Source organism: Homo sapiens, chromosome 1, assembly GCF_000001405.40.
Source record: "Homo sapiens chromosome 1, GRCh38.p14 Primary Assembly".
NCBI lineage: Eukaryota > Metazoa > Chordata > Mammalia > Primates > Hominidae > Homo > Homo sapiens.
The window spans coordinates 204,649,318-204,667,460 of NC_000001.11; the positions used below are offsets into that span (position 1 = coordinate 204,649,318).

Sequence of the window (18,143 nt, forward strand, 5' to 3'; positions counted from 1 at the left end):
AGGTCCTAGAGGGCAGGGATAGGTCTTATTTATCTCTGTATCCGCAGCTCACGGCCTGGTTCTCAGCACACAGATGCAGTGTGTGAACGAATGGATGTGCACATGAATGAATCAAACCAACCCAACTGGAAACGAGGCTAAGTGGGGGTGGGAGGTGGTAGAAGAACATGGACAGGGTTGCCCGGGATGCTTTATTTTCTTCTTTCCTGCATCCCTGAACATGCCAGGCATTGTGCAGGCAAGAGAGGAAAGCAGTATCCAGGAAAGAAGACAGACAATTAAGCAAGCAATAAGAAGAAACATGAAGGGCCGTGAGTTCCTCCTGGGCCTTGACCCCTGTGTGACCTTGACCAGATCCTTCTCCTCTCCAGGCCTTAATTTGTTTAGAGGAACTGGAGTTAGACTAAATGGTCCAAGGTTCACTTCCCACACTGATCCCCATGACTGGCAGACATGGACGTGAGCCCTCTCCCGGCTGCAGAGAATCATGGCCTCTCCCCACCATGGCAGTAGGGGGTATGGGGAGAGCAAGGCCAGGCAGAGGCAACCTGGCGTGAAGAAGGCAAACAGACACTCCTGGAAGCAGGGTCCCCAGAGACTGTGCAGCCAGAGGTAACTGGCTGTGACAAGGAGTGAGCCAGTAGTCAATTCCATTCAATAAAACTTTGATTACCTATGAGCCTTGTAAACAGGCAGCTCCCCTGTGGGCTGAGCCGGAGGTGCTCTCTTCTTCCCTCCCTCTGTCCTGCCAGCACCTGCCCAGCCTGGCCCTGGGCCCTGTGCCAGCCCAAAAACTTCCTCAGCCTCTGATGCAAGGGGGGCAGCTGAGGGTTAAGTGCCCACTGGCAGGTGAGGGCTCAGGGCCTAGGGGCAGTGGGAGGGGAGGGAGCAGGAATCACTTAGCCCTCATTAGTCCAAATTAAAATCAGGAGTGAGATGACAATTCCAATTTGCAGTGGGCTAATTGTTTTCCCTCAGAAGCTGATCATTTTGCAGACTGGGGAAATTAATTGTTTGAAGTCCCAGGTGCATTGGCTTTGAACCCAGCGCAGGCCAGACAGGCTCTGCCTTTACCTCGTCACCACCCCTCAGGGACACACTCAGCAGTGGCTTCTGCCCTTTGGGATTCTCAGGCAGGGAGAGACTGAGGGTCAGGGGTGAGGGTAGGGGTCCTACTAGTCTTACCCTCAGGTGGGAAGAGGGAAGAACACTGGCAGAGAGGTAGGCTGGGAGATGCCAGCAGCTGGGGCCTGGCATCCAGGAGGGGTTGCTTTGCCTACCTGATGCCACCTGCTCTGCGGAGGGGTGTATGTAGGAAGCCTCCTTGGACCTGCCAGAAGTTCCCACTTCCACTCTGCATCCAAAAGTCCCTGTAAAGTTCACTCACTCATTCAACAAACATCAACAACCCACTGTGTGCCAAGTGTTGCTTCAGGAGGGCTGGGGACACGGCACTGAACAACTCAAACACAATCTCTCCGCTCATGGATTTTACTTGGGGGGATAGATGGACAATAAATGTGTAAGTAGACATCAGAGAGTGGTAGGGGCTCGGAAGGAATGACAGACAGCAGGAGGGATGGGGCTCCAAAGACTCCCACACTCTAATCCCAGAGCCTATGGAATCTGTCACCTTCCAGGGCAGAAGGAATCCTGCAGATGTAATTACGGTTATGAACTTTAAGATTAGAGAATGTCTTGGATTATCTGAGTAGGACAAATCTAGTCACATGAGTCATTAAAGCAGCTTTCTCCAGCAGCAGGCAGAAGAGGGATTCCAAGCGTGCGATGATCTGATATCCTGTTGCTGGTTCTGAGGAAGCTGTGCACAAGGACTGGAAGGCACCATCTAGGAGCCGAGGACCACCCTCAGCTGCCAGCCAGCATGGAAACAGGGACCTCAGTCCTACAGCCACCTGAATGAGCTCAGGAGCGGATCTCCTAGAGTCTTCAGATAGAGTCCAGCTGGCTGGCACCTTGATTTTGGCCTTTTGGAAACCTGGAGCAGAGAAATCGGCTGAGCCAACCCAGACAGACTTCTGGCCGACAGAGCTGTGAGATGGCAAATGTGTGTTTCTTTAAGCTGCTATGTTTGTGGTGATTTGTTATGGCAGCAATAAAAAGCTATTTCAGGAACTAAACAGGGTCAGAGGAGAGTGACTTGGTGCTGTGTTAACTTGGGTGGCCTCTTTGAGGAAGGGACTGACACCTGGATGATGAGGAAGCAGAGTGGGGTGACCAACTTGTCCCCATTTCCCAGTTTCAGCATTTAAGTCCTGCATCCCCCCAAAACCCCCCAGCCCCAGGCAAACCAGATGGCTTGTCACCATATGGCAGAAGGAATGGCCTGGGCAATGGCTTGGGGAATGAGAGCTTTCAGGTGAGTTGTCACAAAAAGCATCCCAAGGGAAGTTCTGTCGGACACAGGAGCAGGTGATGGGGGCTGCTGGGGAATCGCTCAGAAAACTCTTTCAAATGGGGACTGAGCAACTCTAGCTGAGGATAGGTGAGAACTCCCAGCCCTCCTTCCAGAACCCCATCCTCCTGCTGTAGGGCCTAAGAATTACCAGCCCCTGCCTGCCCTGCCCCGAGGCTGCTTCCTTTCTCCCCTGGCCCAACTCCCTTCCCCAGCCGGCCCCTGCCAGGGCCCAGGTGTCTCCCAGTGCCCGGGTACCAGGTGCCTGCTGTGGCTTTCCCCAGTGGGATGCTGGCATTCTGCCAAGCAGCACACAACAGGGGAAATTTTTGAAGCCGTCTTTAATTAGTGAGACAATAGGAGGCTGGGAAGCAGAGAAGACAAAGGTTGCGGATGGCTTCACACCCTGTCAAAACAGCGGCTGTGAGCCTGAAGAATGCCTGAGAGAGAAAGGGAGACGGAAAAACGGAGATGGGCCATGGGACCCTTCCCCCTCCTCTCTCCCCTTCGCCCTCTCCTCTTCACCGCCCCCCCCCCGCCCCCCCGCCGCCTTCCTCCTTGCCTCCCTGAACCACAGCTGCAGGCGCCTTGACATTAACCCACCCCTCTCCCGGTTCAGCTGGTCACCTCCCAGCGCTGTTTCGAGTCAGGTAAGAGGCAGCTGTTTAGGAGTTCAGCAAGGAGGCAGAAGAGCAAAGAAGGACCGAGCTAAAGTTTTGGCTCCTTGTCTCATTATCTGGATGATGCCTGGCAAGTTAATTGCTGTGGGTCTCAGTTTTCTCTTCTGTACAATTAGAGTAATAATGCCTACTTTGCAGGGTGGTGGTTGTAAAGATTAGAGATGTCAAAAAGTGCCCCACATGGAGTAGGTACTGGATAAATGGCAGCTATTTCTAATATGAGAGCTTGCACCTCCCATCCTGGATCCCAGCCCTCCAATCCAATATTTCTCAAACTAAGAGCGTGCCCACGAATCACCCAGAGAGCTTGTTAACATGCAAATACCCATCCCACTCCTCAGGGTGGAGCCCGGACACCTGCAGATTGAACAGCTTCCAAGCAGGTGATTCCAATGCAGGCAGCTGGGTCTGCCTCCTGGGAAAAGAGCTAGCCCAGGGCAGTCCTGCAACTGGGTCCATTTCAGAAGCCATTCCCCTACAGATGGAGGGTGCTGGCAGGGAGGTGAGGTCTTGCCTATCCCACCAACTTGCTACCTTCACGTGGGGGTCTGTCCCGGGTGCAGCCTCCACATCTAAGCAAGGTGAGTTGGTCCTCAGGTCAGAGCTTCTGCGGAAGGGACCTCGGTATCCACCTCATTCTGCTTCCTTTTCAATGGAAGAAGCAGAGTCCCACAGCAGGGAAGTGACTAGTATTAGATGGTGCAAAAGTAATTGCGATTTTTGCCATTGAAAGTAACAGCAAAAACCACAATTACTTTTGCACTAGCCTAATATTAATATAAGGGCACACACTGAACTCTGGGCTTCTGATTCTCATCTGCAAGATACAAGTACCCAGCTACAAGATTGCTAGTCCCTCTCAATTCAGAAGTTCTAAGTTTCTCTAGGAGTTGGCTCCACTGACCCCAGGTTGGGAAACCGTGAAGGAAGCCTGAGGCTGATTGCCTTCTTGATCTCTAATCAATTTCTTCACACCTCTCTGATTTCTGGGCCAGGACGGCTGCTTCTCCCTTGCCAAATAATGATAGGCTGACCCTTACTGAACACTTGGTATGAACTAGGAACTGTTCTAAGCACTTTACTTGTATTAACCCATATCAGCCTACAACAACCCTGTGATGCCTTTATCCTCATTTATAAATGGGAATCTAAAATACAGAGATTGGCCCGGGTGCAGTGGCTCATGCCTGTAATCCTAGTGCTCTGGGAGGCAGAGGCAGGAGGATCACTTGAGACCAAGAGTTCAAGACCAGCCTGGGCAACATAGTGAGACTCTGTCTCCACAAAATATTTAAAAAATTAGCCAGGTGTGGTGGTGTGCAACCTTAGTCCCAGCTACTTGGGAGGCTGAGGCAGGAGGATCACTTGAGCCCTGTAGGTCAAGGCTACAGTGAGTTAGGGTAGTACCACTGCACTCCAGCCTGGGCAACAGAGTGAGACCCCATCTCAAAAAAAAAAAAAAAGAAAAACTATTTAGCTGGGCATGGTAGCATGCACCTGTAGTCTCAGCTACTCAGGAGGCTGATGTGGAAGGATCACTTCAGTCTAGGAGTTCGAGGCTGCAGTGAGCCATAATTGTGCCAGTGCACTCCCTCTTTGGTGACAGTGTGAGACCCTGACAAAAAAAAAAAAAAAAAAAAAGGATCTAGAGATTAAGTAACCTGCCTGGGGTCAAACAGCTGAAGCTGGGATTTGAATCTCGGCAGTCTGGCCCCAAAGTCTGTGTGCTTAACCACTGAGGAAGATTGTCCTTGAAGCCATACTTGTAAGTACATGATATACTGCCAACCCAAAGTCAGTAAGGACTGGTGTAAAGCGGACTGGATTAAGAATTAGAAGACCCAATTACCCGAGAAGGGGTACGAGGAGCCTTCTGGGTACTGAAATGTTCAAAGCTGTTCACTGAAGATTTATGGGTTTGAATACTGTAGACAAGTTTAATCTTAATGAAAATCAGAAGGCTTGGGTTTGTCCCAACGGTGGCCTATTTATTAGCTGTGTGACTATTAGCTTGTTAGGCCTTAGTTTTTTCATCTGCAAATCAGAACAATTAGAATGAAAGCCTGCTTTCTTAGTTGATAAGGAAGTTGTACAAAGTTCTTTCTTTGTATAGCAGGTCCCATCCAGCTGTCTTGATCCTTTTTGCATCCCCTGATCAAAAACTCTCCACCAAACTCTCCCTGGCGGTACTCATAGCATATGTGGCTACTTCCATCCTTCCCTGGACCAGAAGCTCTTTGATTCCATCCAAACATCCAAGTCATCCAACTTTGTGCTCATGCAGAAGTGGCACTTGGTAGTTACATCCATCATTGGCATTAACCAGTGCGTGCTGGAACCAGCTTGCCCCAGTCCATGAGAGCTGATGGAGCTCACCTCTTCCCAACTCCACCCTCAATAACATTACATAGTAGGTTGAAATTGGCTGTGATGGAAATACTGAAAACTATGAAAATTGGCAAACACTACAAATCAGGACTTCCCTTCTTGCCACCCCCCCAGCACAACACCCCTGCCATGAACCCAAAATGTTCCTCTCAAGTAGGCCCCAGGAGGTTTATAAGAGCTCTGGGACTACCAGTAGCTGGGGAGCTGTGGTCTGAGTGTAGCTGTTCTGAAACTTTAATGGGTGCAAAAGACATTCTCCATTCTCTAGCCCCTGTGGACATTCCAAGCTCCCCCAGGCCTTGCCTGAAGAAACAGCTGAGTGGCAGTGGGACACAGGTGGCTGGACCCAGCTGAGGTAAGTCCTCCAAGAGTGGAAATGAGGTAAGTTCTCCGACAGCGGAACTGACCACCCCAGCAAGTGGTGCTAAAACCTTGATGGCATCCCTACTTCAGGTCTCACCAAATTTATGCTCTACATTTGGTGGGTTTTGTTTTTGTTTTCTTGAGACAGGGTCTTGCTCTGTCACCCAGGCTGGAGTGCAGTGGCGCGATCTGGGGTCACTGCAGCCCCTGTCTCCCAGGCTCAAGTGATCCTCCCACCTCAGCCTCCCAAGTAGCTGGGACTACTGGCATGTGCCACCATGCCCAGCTAATTTTTTAAAAATGTTTTTGTTTCTTAGAGAAGGGGTCTTACTTATTTCCCAGGCTGATCTTGAACTCCTGGGCTCAAGTGATCTGCCATCCTAGGCCTCCCAAAGTGCTGGGATTACAGGCATGAGCCACCATGCCCAGCCAGGTGAGGTTTTTTTGTTTTTTTTTTTCTCCTCCTTCCTTTCTCTTCCTCTCTACATTCATTCAAGCACCAATTCCATGTATTTTCTCTGCCAGGCACTGGGAATAGATACAAGATGAACAAGATCCAGCCTCTGTCCTGAGGGAGATCTGTACCTAGCAGGGCAGACTGACAGACTCACAAATATGACTGTGGCCCTGGGGGCTGCCGACAGGACAAGGGCACCGAAACGCAGGATAATTGTGTTCAGAGCAGCACAGTGGCCCCCAGAGCTCCACGCTCCATATCTTTCCTTCCCTCCCTTTCCTTCTCTTCTTTTTTCTTTTCTTTTTTGAGACGGAGTCTCGCTCTGTCGCCCAGGCTGGAGTGCAGTGGCGCGATCTCGGCTCACTGCAAGCTCCACCTCCCAGGTTCACGCCATTCTCCTGCCTCAGCCTCCCCAGTAGCTGGGACTACAGGCGCCCGCCACCACGCCCGGCTAATTTTTCGTATTTTTAGTAGAGACGGGGTTTCACCCTGTTAGCCAGGATGGTCTCGATCTCCTGACCTCATGATCTGCCCGCCTCAGCCTCCCAAAGTGCTGGGATTACAGGTGTGAGCCACCACGCCTGGCCCCCCTCTATTCTTTCTTTGTCTCTTCTCTATCTCTGGCCTGCCCTTGGCTGTCTGCATCCACGTGTGTCAAAGATATAGTAACTGGTAGGTACAGTATGACATTCTTATCGAAAAATTAGAAGGTATAGAAAAACATGGAGAAAATTTAAACAATCCCCTTTTCTACCTCCTGGTGCCATAACCACTGTTAACATTTTGATGCATATCTTTTCAGGCTTTTTCTTATGATAGTAAATATTCTTAACAATTTGTCTCTCCCTGAGGTTCATGTCATCTTTCTTGTTTTCCACCTTGTTTTGGTAGAGTACATCTTTTTTGAGTTGCTTTTGAAAAAGAGCTAAGTTTCTTGAAAGTCTGAGTGTTTGAAAATTTTGGCACGAACATTTTTGCAAATGTTTGCATGTCTTTATTGAGCCTCCATATCTGACAGTTTGACTGGAAATATAATTTCAGACTGTAAATAACATTCCCTCACATGTTGGAAGACACAGTTCCATGACCTATTTGCGTCTAGGGCTGCTGTTGAGAAGTCTGCTCTATCCTAAAGCCTGTCTTTTTCTTCCTGGCTTGTGGAATCTTCACTTTATACCTGACATTCTGAAATCTCAAAATGTTGTGTCTTTGTGAGGGTCTCTTCTTCATTAATTGTGCTGGGCACCTAATGGATCCTCGCCATCTGCAAAGTAATCATCTTCATTGAAGGAAACAACATATTTTAAGTCTCCAAGAACTTGTTCTCTGCATCTTCCTTAAAAAATAAAAATCACCCAAATGTCTACCAACTGATAGATGGATAAAAAAATATGGTATATCTGACAGGCGTGGTGGCTCACGTCTGTAATCCCAGCACTTTGAGAACCGAGGCGGGTGGACCATCTGAGGTCAGGAGTTTGAGACCAGCCTGGCCAACACGGCGAAACCCCCGTCTCTACTAAAAACACAAAAATTAGCCGGGTGTGGTGGTGCAGACCTGTAATCCCAGCTACTTGGGAGGCTGAGGCAGGAGAATCACTTGAACCCGGGAGGCGGAGGTTGCAGTGAGCCAAGATCACCCCATTGCACTCCAGCCTAGGTGACACAGTGAGACCCCATCTCAAAATATATATCTATGTGTCTATATATATGTATATATACACACACACACACACACACACACACGCATATATATGGTATATCCATACAATGCAATAATATTCAACTACAAAAAGGAACGAAGTAATGGCACATGCTACAACCTTTGAAAACATGCTAAGTGGAAGATGCCAGACACAAAGGCTACGAATTGTATGATTCCATTTCTATGACACGTCCAGAATAAGCAAATCTATAGAGACAGAAAGCAGACTAGTGGTTGCCAGGATCTGGGGGAAGGGGAGAATGAGGAGTGGCTGCTGATGGGTATGGAGTTTTTTGGGGGCGATAATGAGAATGTTTTAGAATTAGATAATGGCAATGGATGTACAACCTTGTGAATATATAAAAAACTACCAAATTGTACACTTTAAAATGGTGAATTTTATGGTATGTGAATTATATCTCAATTTTTTAAAAAGGCCCCATGATCTTCTTTTGTGGGTATAATGTCGTCTCTCAACTCTCTGAGGATATAAATTGAGGTGGTGATGATGGTTTTTATTTTTTCTTTTGCTCCCTGCATAGTATTTCCTTTCTTCAAGTTTTTATTTATTGTTTATTTTGGCTTATGCTTTCTTAACATTAGACACCTCCCTTAAAATTCTAGTAAGCCTTAGCCAATGGTTCTTTTTTTTTTTTTTTTTTTTTTTTTGAGACTGAGTCTCACTCTGTCGCCCAGGCTGGAGTGCAATGGCGTAATCTCGGCTCACTGTAACCTCCACCTCCCAGTTTCAAGCCATTCTCCTGCCTCAGCCTCCGGAATATCTGGGACTACAGGCACGTGCCACCATGCCTGGCTAATTTTTATATTTTTAGTGGAGACGGGGTTTCACTATATTGGCCAGGCTGTTCTCAAACTCCTGACCTCAAGTGATTTGCCCACCTTGGCCTCCCAAAGTGTTGGGATTACAGGCATGAGCCACCGTGCCCAGCCAATGGTTCGTATTTACAGCCGATTGGAAAGGGCAGGGCTTAACTGAGAGGAAGGGGGTCTCCCAAATATCATCACTTGTCCAACTACCAGTATTTTTAGACCCAGCTGGAAGAAATGACCAAAAGGCTTCCCCATTTGGCTTGGAAACTTTGAGCAAATGCTCACTTTTCCAACATACTGCCTCATCTCTACTCATACTTGTACCCATATCCCCAAGTCAGCACTTTTTGGGTTCAGTCTCTTTGGAGAGCAAAGTTTTCTTCAGGATGCTCTAGGGTAAAGCAGGGACAGACATGGGGTGACATGGGGTGAGGAAGGGATCTGAGGTATCACTCTCCTGTTTCTGGCCCTACTCCATACCCTGTCTTCAGATGCCAACCATTTCTCAGCCTCTCTGTGGTTTTATAGCAGGAATCTGCCCATTTCTCATTGACTCCCCTCTTTGGGAGCCTCTGGGTTTTTCTTTCTCTATCAAGCCAAGTCAGTTACCTTCTCAAGTTCCAAAATTGTACTGACATTTCTTATTCGCTTTCATCTCCTCCCCTGCCCTTGTGGGCCTGCATCTTTTTTACTCCTTTACTTCTAGTGTGGTTTGGGGAGGCAGCACAAAGCACCAGAGATGTTAGTCCATCATGTTTAAACAGAAGTCCCTCCTTGCTACTGTCATTCAAAAGTGGCAGTCGCTGGTATTCTCCGTTTATCATAAGGTGGCTTCTGCCATTATGACCAACCTCAGTCTGACATGAAATAGTATGTAATGCTGACTTGCCAGTGCTGTGAGACCAGCAGGGGAACCTCCTGGCAAGCTGAGAGTTGGGTGACTTTGCCCTCAATAGCCATCCTCATTACATTTCTCAGTCATACTTTACTGCATTTTATGGGGGAAATTATGTGGTAGTCTCTAATCCACGGATTCATGAAGGGCTATGATGTATCCCTTGAGAATGTCAAGGGCCTACTGTACCTCTGTCACTATGGAAACTAGTTCCCTGGTAGCAATTAGGCTTAGCAACATCCACAATGGTGCAATGCACATGGATTCTGGCTCTGGTAATGGACAGGGAGCAGTCCCTGGAGACAGGGCCACACTTACCCTAATGACAGTCTCCGGGGTCTTCATCCAGCCTGAGCACCCTGCATGGAGCCCGGCCTGAAGTGCTCCAGCTCAGAGGAGGAGGAGGGAGAGGGTAAGCCTGTTTGGCCCACTGAAATCTGGAATTATTCAAGTGCTCCTGGAATGGCTTTCCAAACCCAGCCTCCCAGGACATCTGTCTTACGGCCACCTAAGAGAATGAGGTTTAAGGTGGTCAACAGTTCATAATCTACCTTCAGGTGTGTGTGTGTGTGTGTGTGTGTGTGTGTGATGGATAGTTCAAAAGTCACTTGTGTTTGGCTTTGAAATGCATTGTAGGATTTTTTTCCCCAGTGTATTTACTATGCAAATGAGTTACTATGTGTGAAGTGTTTAAAACAGCCTGGCTCATGGTAAGTGCCTTATAAGTGTTTGCTATTATTATTACTAAAACTGTATTTAGCTTGGATCCATATGAAAACAAATTTGCATTCCTGGACTCTTTGAAACTCACTAAACTCAACAAAAAATAGTAGATAAGACAGAGACCCAGGGACTAAGAACTCCTGGCTCATTGACCCCTCTTTACATAATAGAGAATAAGCCATCATCCAGATATTTTGTTTATTGGTTTGCCCCATTCACTGGATTGGTGAACTCCCTGCCAGGCCCACTCCTTGACACTTTACCAAGAACCAATGAGTTGATGCCTGTAAAGGCATCTGTGAGCTGTCTCTTTCCAGAGGACCCTCAAGGCTGCTTCTTCCTGGTCCAGGGGGTGACAGCAGGCCAAGCTCCATACCCTTGGCTTGTTCACAGGACTCCTGCTCCTCTCCAGGTCTCCCGTCCACCCTCGTTTCTCCTTCCAGCTCCACCCTCGTTTCTCCTTCCAGCTCCACCCTCGTTTCTCCTTCCAGCTGTCCTTCCTCCTGTTTATAGATGTGTCTCCATCTCCCCTTGCCTTTTCTGTTGTCATCCCCATCATCTCACTTTCTTTCTTTTCCTCCTCTGGACTGGGAGTTCCTTAAGGGCAGGTCTTGTTTATCTTGTCAGTCTGAACACCTAGAATGGGGCCTAGTAAATAGCAGATGTCCAAAATATTTTTTTCCTTTTTGGACTGATAAATCCTCTTTCTTTATTGCCTTGCTTCTGAGGTATCTGCCTTGTGTCCTCTACTTTCTCCCTTCTCCCCGCCTTACACAGACACACACACACACACACACACACACACTCTCTCTCTCTCTCTCTCTCTCACTTCGTCTTAGAGCCTCTTGGGCTGCTCTTCTGCCTGGCTGTGCGTGTGAAGGAGGTGGTGTTTCCCATCCTTGGGAAAGCCCTTCTGACCTCAGTGGTGGCAGGGAGAGGCCTAAATAAGTTGCACAACTCAGAATGTCAGGATTGATACCTCCTGATGAGAAGCAGGCTTGTTCTGTGCAATTTCCATCTCATTTGTCTTTTCATTTGTAGCTTAAATTGGCCAATTTCATCTGGAATGTGCCTGGACTCTCTGGCAAGCCATATACTACAAATGAGTGTCCCAGTAGCTGTCTACAGAGGGACTGGCAGGGGAGTGGGCCCAGGTCCTCCACAGCAGCATTGGTGACGGCTCCTGGGCCTCTGGAAGCACTAATGCTTGGAGGATTGGGGCCGAATGTGATCTCCCCAAGGCCTGAGGAGGGGAGGATGGAGGAAACTGCAATGAGAGGGAGTTAGGGCTAGGTCCTGAAAAATCTGGTTGATTGATTGATTGATTAATTTTTTTCTCTCTCTCTATCAGAAGAGGGTAAGGTACATGGGATGGAAGAGGAGTTGTTTGTACTTTTAAGAGTGGGCAGAAGTGATACAATGTGGAGCAAAAGAATACAAATACTCCATTCACATGAAATTCAAAAACAGGCTAAACTAGGTCTACGCTGCTAGAATGCTGAGTGTAAGAGAGCCTTTTAGGGGGCTAGAAATGTCCTACATGTTGTTTTATATCTTGATTTGGGAGTGGTAATATGGGGATGTTGTATACCCCATATTCAAACTCAAGTTGCCCACGTGATTTGTTTGCTTCACTATATGAGTTCTACCTCAATAAAAATGGGGGGAAAAGTCACACCAATGGTTTTCGAACTTTCCTGTACATAAGAATCCTGTGGGAGCTTATCTACAATGCAGATTTCTGGCCAGCCTGGAATCTAGTTGATCTGAAGTGCTGTCGGGAATCTGCATCTGAGTGCCCCACACCCCCAAGGGTGATCTTGAGACAGGTGTTCCACAGACCAGAAAAGACCACACAGGGGCTTGAACATCTGCCCAGTTAGATGGCCTAAGCGCCATCCTGCTGGGAGCCATGAGGGGCAGCTGGGTGGCTGAGGGCTCCCGGATGCCCTTGGCAGGGAGGGTTAGAGGTTGACTATGCTGCAGCATAGAGAAAGTACGGTGAGGACAGCAAAAGCGGTAGCAGGAAACGAGGGGCTGCTCTCTGGGCTAAGAAGGACCAGGACAGAGAGTGGATCTTCTCCTCAGGGATGAGAATCTCTCTGAGCAAAGAATGCTTTGCTGCACCCCTGCACCCCTGCACCCCTGCACCCTGGGCACCCTGCCCCAGGATGGCTGGGCAAACCTCATGGAGTGGCTTTGGCACAGGAAGGGTAGCCACTGCAGAAAGCTGGACCCCAGCAGATGTGGAGTTTCATGGAATAGCCTGATCCCTCTGCAGGGTCTGGAGACTGACGTGATCAGTTCTGTATCTGTATCTTCAGCAGGCACCTTCTGTCCAACAGGAAGAAGGAACCCAAGACTGAAGACCCACAGCTAAAGGTGAAACCTTGGGGAGGGTGTAGACAACGTGGCACTTCCATAGACAAATGCCAGGATAGTCTGAGCATTTGAAAATGTGGGCAAATGATGACTTGAGCTGTCCTTGACTTGAGGGCCTGGGAGAGCTAGGATATAGTGAGGGGGAGCTACATACAGGGAGTGGGAAAAGGGGCAGGGGCATCTACCATATGCCAGACCCTTTACAAACACCATCCCATTTAATCCTCCAGTAATTCTCTGGCATAATTTACTTATGTCAACTTTACAGATGATGAAACTAAGACTAAGAGAAGTTCACCAACTTGTCCAAGGCCACAACTCACAGTGGAATCTGAACTCGGCTCCATATGACTCGAGTCCCACGATCTTTTCATGTTCCCTGCTACCTCTCCCTCTCAGCCTGCTACAGTGATGGGACATTTATGAACTTGCAAAATGCTTTCTCACAAATGATCTTATTTGATTTTCACAAACATGTGTGAGGCAGGTATAAGTTCTGTTCTATGGATGAACAATTGGTCTTCAGGTAAAGAACAACTTGTCCAAGGTCAAATAGCTGATAAGTATCTGGGAACTGGGACCTAAATACACATTTGATGAGTAACTTTGCCACAATATCTTATCTGGACACTTGAAAACATACTCCAGCCCTGTCATAAACCCAGGAGAATTTGAAGATGTCCCTCCCTACTTACAGCCTGGTTTCATGATCACTAGAAACTTGTTTAACTAAACTCCTTTCTGTTCTCAGGATGGCTCAGGGGACTGAGCTGGAAAAAAAAAGGCCTCAGAAGGGAAATGGAGGCCCAGAAAGCTTTGGTGAGCAGCTCGAGATTACATAGGACATGGAGACCAGAACTCATGTTTCCTCAAATAGTTCATTTCCAGGGGGCTTTTAGGCTATTAATTCTATAATCTGCCCTCTGTCTGCCTCAGGGACTCTCCCCTCCAACCCCCATTTGGACCATGAACTGATGCCAATGGCACCAAGGAAGCATCAACTGATACTGGGCAGAAGGGCAGGGCAGTGGCCCCTGGGAGTCTTCATGGCTCCTCTGGCAGAAAGTACCTGGAGGCATCAGCTCATGGACCTGGAGCATATCAGCAAGGAACAGAGATAAACTGTACCGCATCACCACCCTGGCACTACTCATGAGAAACTTTCCCAACCATTATGCTTGGTTGACTTGGCCGGAAAGGAGTTAACACACAACATGTGAGGAGTACACTGAGTAGGGAGCTGTGTTCTTGGGTGACCTGTGGGTATCTGGGCCCATTTAATGCACCAAGTCTTCAAATAGTGGCAGCCATCACAGGCTCTTCTGTCTGCTTGTGCATGCACATGGGGATCCTTCACTTGGTGGCTTCTCCCCAAGCAAACGTTTTTAGCCCATCCTGGATTCTCCTCACTGCCCTCTCTACCCTGGGAAATGCAACCCACATTGTCCAAGTCAGACCTAATTAGACCAGCAAATCAGTGGCACTCAAGTCATCACAGCACACTCCAAGCACAAGAGGAAATGCTGTGTAGGTTATCCTGTGCGCTGCTTGTTGTGTCTGTTTGTGTTTCCTTGGATTATCCATTCTCTGCTCCCTGCCTTCCATTACCTCACTAATGGAGAGGCAGGATGCAGTCCTCCACAGGCCAGCATTCATCTTCCCAGTCTGACCCTCTCGGAGGCTATTACGCTGCTGTCGCAAGATCGACGAGGGGAGAAAAATGAAAACAGTGCACAGGGAACAATGGAGGGCAAATGGGACTCTTTTAGAACCGGATCCACTGATACGTCAGGCCAAGGAGAAATGACCACAAGCTCTGAAAAGTGGAGAGCTCCCCCAGACGGCAAAGCCAGGTGAGTGGGCTTCCCCACTGGGCTGCCCACAGTAAGAGGCCAGGCTGGTGGGGATAGAAGGGTGTCTGTCTGCAGAAGGCTGGGCAGCCTAGGCCCCACAAAATGAGAGGAAGGTTACTGAGGTCATTGCTGCCCCTGCCTCAGTTAAAAAATTAGAAATCCTCCCCACCCAGCTCTGTTTGTCTCCCCACAAAGCATTGCAGAAGAAAACACGGAAGCCGCCAGCACTATTATGCATTCATGATTCCAGCTTCAACCAGTCCTCTCTGCTGCAATCCCTTTATTCCTCCTCTGCAGCTGCCCCGGCACCTCTGCACAGTCCTTTTCTGAATCTGCCCCTCACCGTGCTCCCCACCTGCACGCCGTCCTCAGAACAGATTGCCTTGCCTGACCTCCTGAGGCCGACGGAGATGGTGATGTGACCTCCTTTGCCCTCCATCACTGTGCCTCCCACACCTCTGCGCAGCTCGTTCATTCTCTCTCCCTCCACTCTGACTTAAGGGAAGAGGAATTTTAAAACCAACCTCATCCCTTCCCACCTCCTCAGGAAACTCACTCCTTTGCTTACCCTCTCTCCACTTTTAAAAATAACGATATAAATGCCCCTTTCGCCTGTGATTCCTTCTGAGCACAGACCCTTCTTGCTTAAGCCCCTGTGAGTTAATTTTCAGTCTCACAGCTCTTCTCAATCCAACAGTATTTTTGCAGCTTTCAGCCTCGGGAAGCTCTTGATGGGCTCGTCTGCCACGCTACCAACTTCCTTCTTGGAAGTCCCTCCCCGTCTTCTGCGTCTGCCTTGTGCCCATTCTCCCTCTGGGGTCAGTCCTCTGCCGTCCGGCAGGCCCATCCTCCACTCCCCATTATGGTCCCTCTTTACAGCCTCATCTGGTCTCTCATTACACTCTGCAGTAGCCTGATGGTCAGCTCTTTAATCAAATCCCATTCAGTTCCCTAAAGTACCAAAGTTCCCCATGAGTCCCTAGAACAGTGTCCTAAATCAGACACGTCACCCTCTCTACCCCAATACTGGCCCCACTTCCTCACCGGTCTATCCTCCCCAGCAGTCCATTTCATCTTCCCAGGTGAGGTTCCATTCTCTTTAGGAAGATAATGCTTCAACTCCTCCTTTGAATTGCCCCTAACTTGGATCACAGATGGACGTGAAAGAAAAAAAAAGAAAAAAAATTTAAAAAGAATTGCCTCTAACAACAGAGTGATCATGCATTCCCGGGGGTCTCAGGGCGCAATCCCACATGGCTCGCCAAAAGGCCAAAACTTCTTTAAAGTCTCATTTTTCCTTTTTATTTTTTTGGAGACAGGTTCTCCTCCTGTCACCCAGGCTGGTCTTGAACTCCTGGGCTCTAAGTGATCCTCCCACCTCCGCCTTCCAAAGTACTGGGGTTACAGGTATGAGCACCCCCACAGCCAGCCCTTAATTGCTTTAGGGGTGAGTCGACATCATTAGTAGTTGCTTGAGGTCAAGACCCACAGTTTTACCCTTTTTATCTGTCCCTCCTACTTGTGGCCCATGGTAAGGCCTTGATTGGCCAAAACCATGGGTTCCCCTTGACGCCACAGGGCACTCTCTGTGAAAGGCCCACCCTGGAGACCCCACTTATCTCCAATGTGTCCCTGGAGGCTGGGGTTGGCTCTCTTGTCACCTCACTTTTCAAAGGGACAGTGGGAGCTGCTCAAGCAAGCCCATCTCCTGGGCGCTGTGCCCAGGACAGAGACTAGTCCAACTTGTGGTTCCTTTCCAATCACTTAATCACATTTGGCTCTTCACACCTGAGGTTAAGGACTTCCAACAGCTCCACAAATCCTCTGCAATTAAACCTCCTGAGGCCCCCACTGAGTGAAAATAACTCACTGCTTCCACAAGCAAAAACACCCCAGTAGACTTTTCAGCTTAGCATGGACACTTTCGGAACCCAACCAATTGTTTCTGCAGACTGCGTTGGCACAGCCTGACCCAGCACCTGCTGGGAGGGTGGTGGTACAGGAAGAAGCAGGAGTTGGAAGGGTTGCTTTGCATTTTGATAAAATGAGCAACCTGCAAATTCGATGCAAAATACTATGAAAAGATGGCATATATTAATTTGGAACCAAAAGCTCTGGGCATTTTAGGCAATAAAATGCCAGCCCTGTATGTGGTCATATTTACTGCCCCAATTTTCCTTTCCTGATATTCTAAGTAAAACGGAAAGTGTAAGATATTGAGAGGGACATATTCCTCTCCTGTGAATGTCTAGGCATAGGAATAAGTTGGTCATGATACAAGTTATGTAAATATAAATGCCATCTCATCCATATCCTCACTGGCAAACATTTATTGAGCACCTACTATGTGTAAAACACCATGCTAGGTGCTAAGTGAAGAGCATAAAGTACCCTCATTCAGTTGAGCTTGTACAATAAACGTTTGTTAGGTGCTTATTGCTAAACATTTATTAAGTGCCACTTGCTAGTCATGTGATCCTGGGCCAGTTAGCTTTCTCACTTGCAAAACGAGGTAATGCCAATGCCCTTCAGTGGGTGGATGGTTAAATAATTGTGGCACATCCCTATCATGTTATACTACATGGTGACAAAAAAGAACAAACTAACTACTGATATAGGCAACTACTTGGATGAACCTCAAGGAAATTATGCTGAATACAAAAAAAGCCACTGGGCGCGGTGGCTCATGCCTGTAATCCCAGCTCTTTGGGATGCCAAGGCAGATGGATCACTTTAGGTCAGGAATTTGAGACCAGCCTGGCCATCATGGTGAAACCCAGTCTCTACTAAAAATACAAAAAATTAGCCAGGCGTGGTGGCCCACACCTGTAATCCCAGCTACTCGGGAGGCTGAGGCCGGAGAATTGCTTGAACCTGGGAGGCAGAGGTTGCAGTGAGCCAAGATCATGCCACTGCACTCCAGCCTGGATGCCAGAGTGAAACTCTGTCTCCAAAAAAAAAAAAAAAAAAAAAAAAGCCAACAGCAAAAAATTACAGACTCAATGTTCCCATTTATATAACAACTGTGAAACAACATAATTATAGAGATGAAGAATAGCTGAGTGGCTGACAGAGTGCGAGATGGGGTAGCGTGGCTATACAGGAGCAGCACAAGGGAGTCCTGTGATGGTGTGGTTAACTAGCTTGATTGTGGTGGATTTACACAAAACCAGGCACACACAAAGGAGTGCATGTATAACTGGTGAAATTCCGATAAACTCTAGGGTTATACCAATGTCAGTTTCCTTGTTTTGACATTACAGTATAATTAGGCAAGATGTTGGCACTGGGGGATGCTGGATGAAGGGTACTGTGGACTTCCCTGTAAATTTCTTTGCTTGTCCAGTTAATCCATACTTTTTTTAAAAGGTTAAAAAACAACAATTTAAAAAATAGGGTGCAAAACATACATCATATGGTTATTCTGAGGATTCAACGAGTTAATATAAA

General features: G+C 48.0%; 1 protein-coding gene and 1 long non-coding RNA gene across 3 annotated transcripts in view, besides 3 other annotated features; one reads left to right on the forward strand and one right to left on the reverse strand.

The window, feature by feature from the left end:
• LRRN2 (leucine rich repeat neuronal 2) overlaps window positions 1-18,143 on the reverse strand; it is a 68,569-nt gene that overhangs the window by 32,148 nt on the left and 18,278 nt on the right. The window lies entirely within an intron of this gene.
• On the forward strand, window positions 9,993-13,197 carry LOC124904490 (uncharacterized). The gene is made up of 3 exons (XR_007066822.1): window positions 9,993-10,147; window positions 12,783-12,840; window positions 13,109-13,197. It is a non-coding gene; the product is annotated as an uncharacterized LOC124904490 (long non-coding RNA).
• Window positions 12,006-12,507: an enhancer, noted in NCBI's record as "H3K4me1 hESC enhancer chr1:204630451-204630952 (GRCh37/hg19 assembly coordinates)". NCBI's record gives its function as "activates a minimal SCP1, AML or CMV promoter by ChIP-STARR-seq in naive and primed H9 embryonic stem cells {active_cell/tissue: H9 hESC(naive and primed)}" and the evidence as "EXISTENCE:reporter gene assay evidence [ECO:0000049][PMID:30033119]".
• Window positions 14,341-14,841: an enhancer, noted in NCBI's record as "H3K4me1 hESC enhancer chr1:204632786-204633286 (GRCh37/hg19 assembly coordinates)". NCBI's record gives its function as "activates a minimal SCP1, AML or CMV promoter by ChIP-STARR-seq in naive and primed H9 embryonic stem cells {active_cell/tissue: H9 hESC(naive and primed)}" and the evidence as "EXISTENCE:reporter gene assay evidence [ECO:0000049][PMID:30033119]".
• Window positions 14,842-15,342: an enhancer, noted in NCBI's record as "H3K4me1 hESC enhancer chr1:204633287-204633787 (GRCh37/hg19 assembly coordinates)". NCBI's record gives its function as "activates a minimal SCP1, AML or CMV promoter by ChIP-STARR-seq in primed H9 embryonic stem cells {active_cell/tissue: H9 hESC(primed)}" and the evidence as "EXISTENCE:reporter gene assay evidence [ECO:0000049][PMID:30033119]".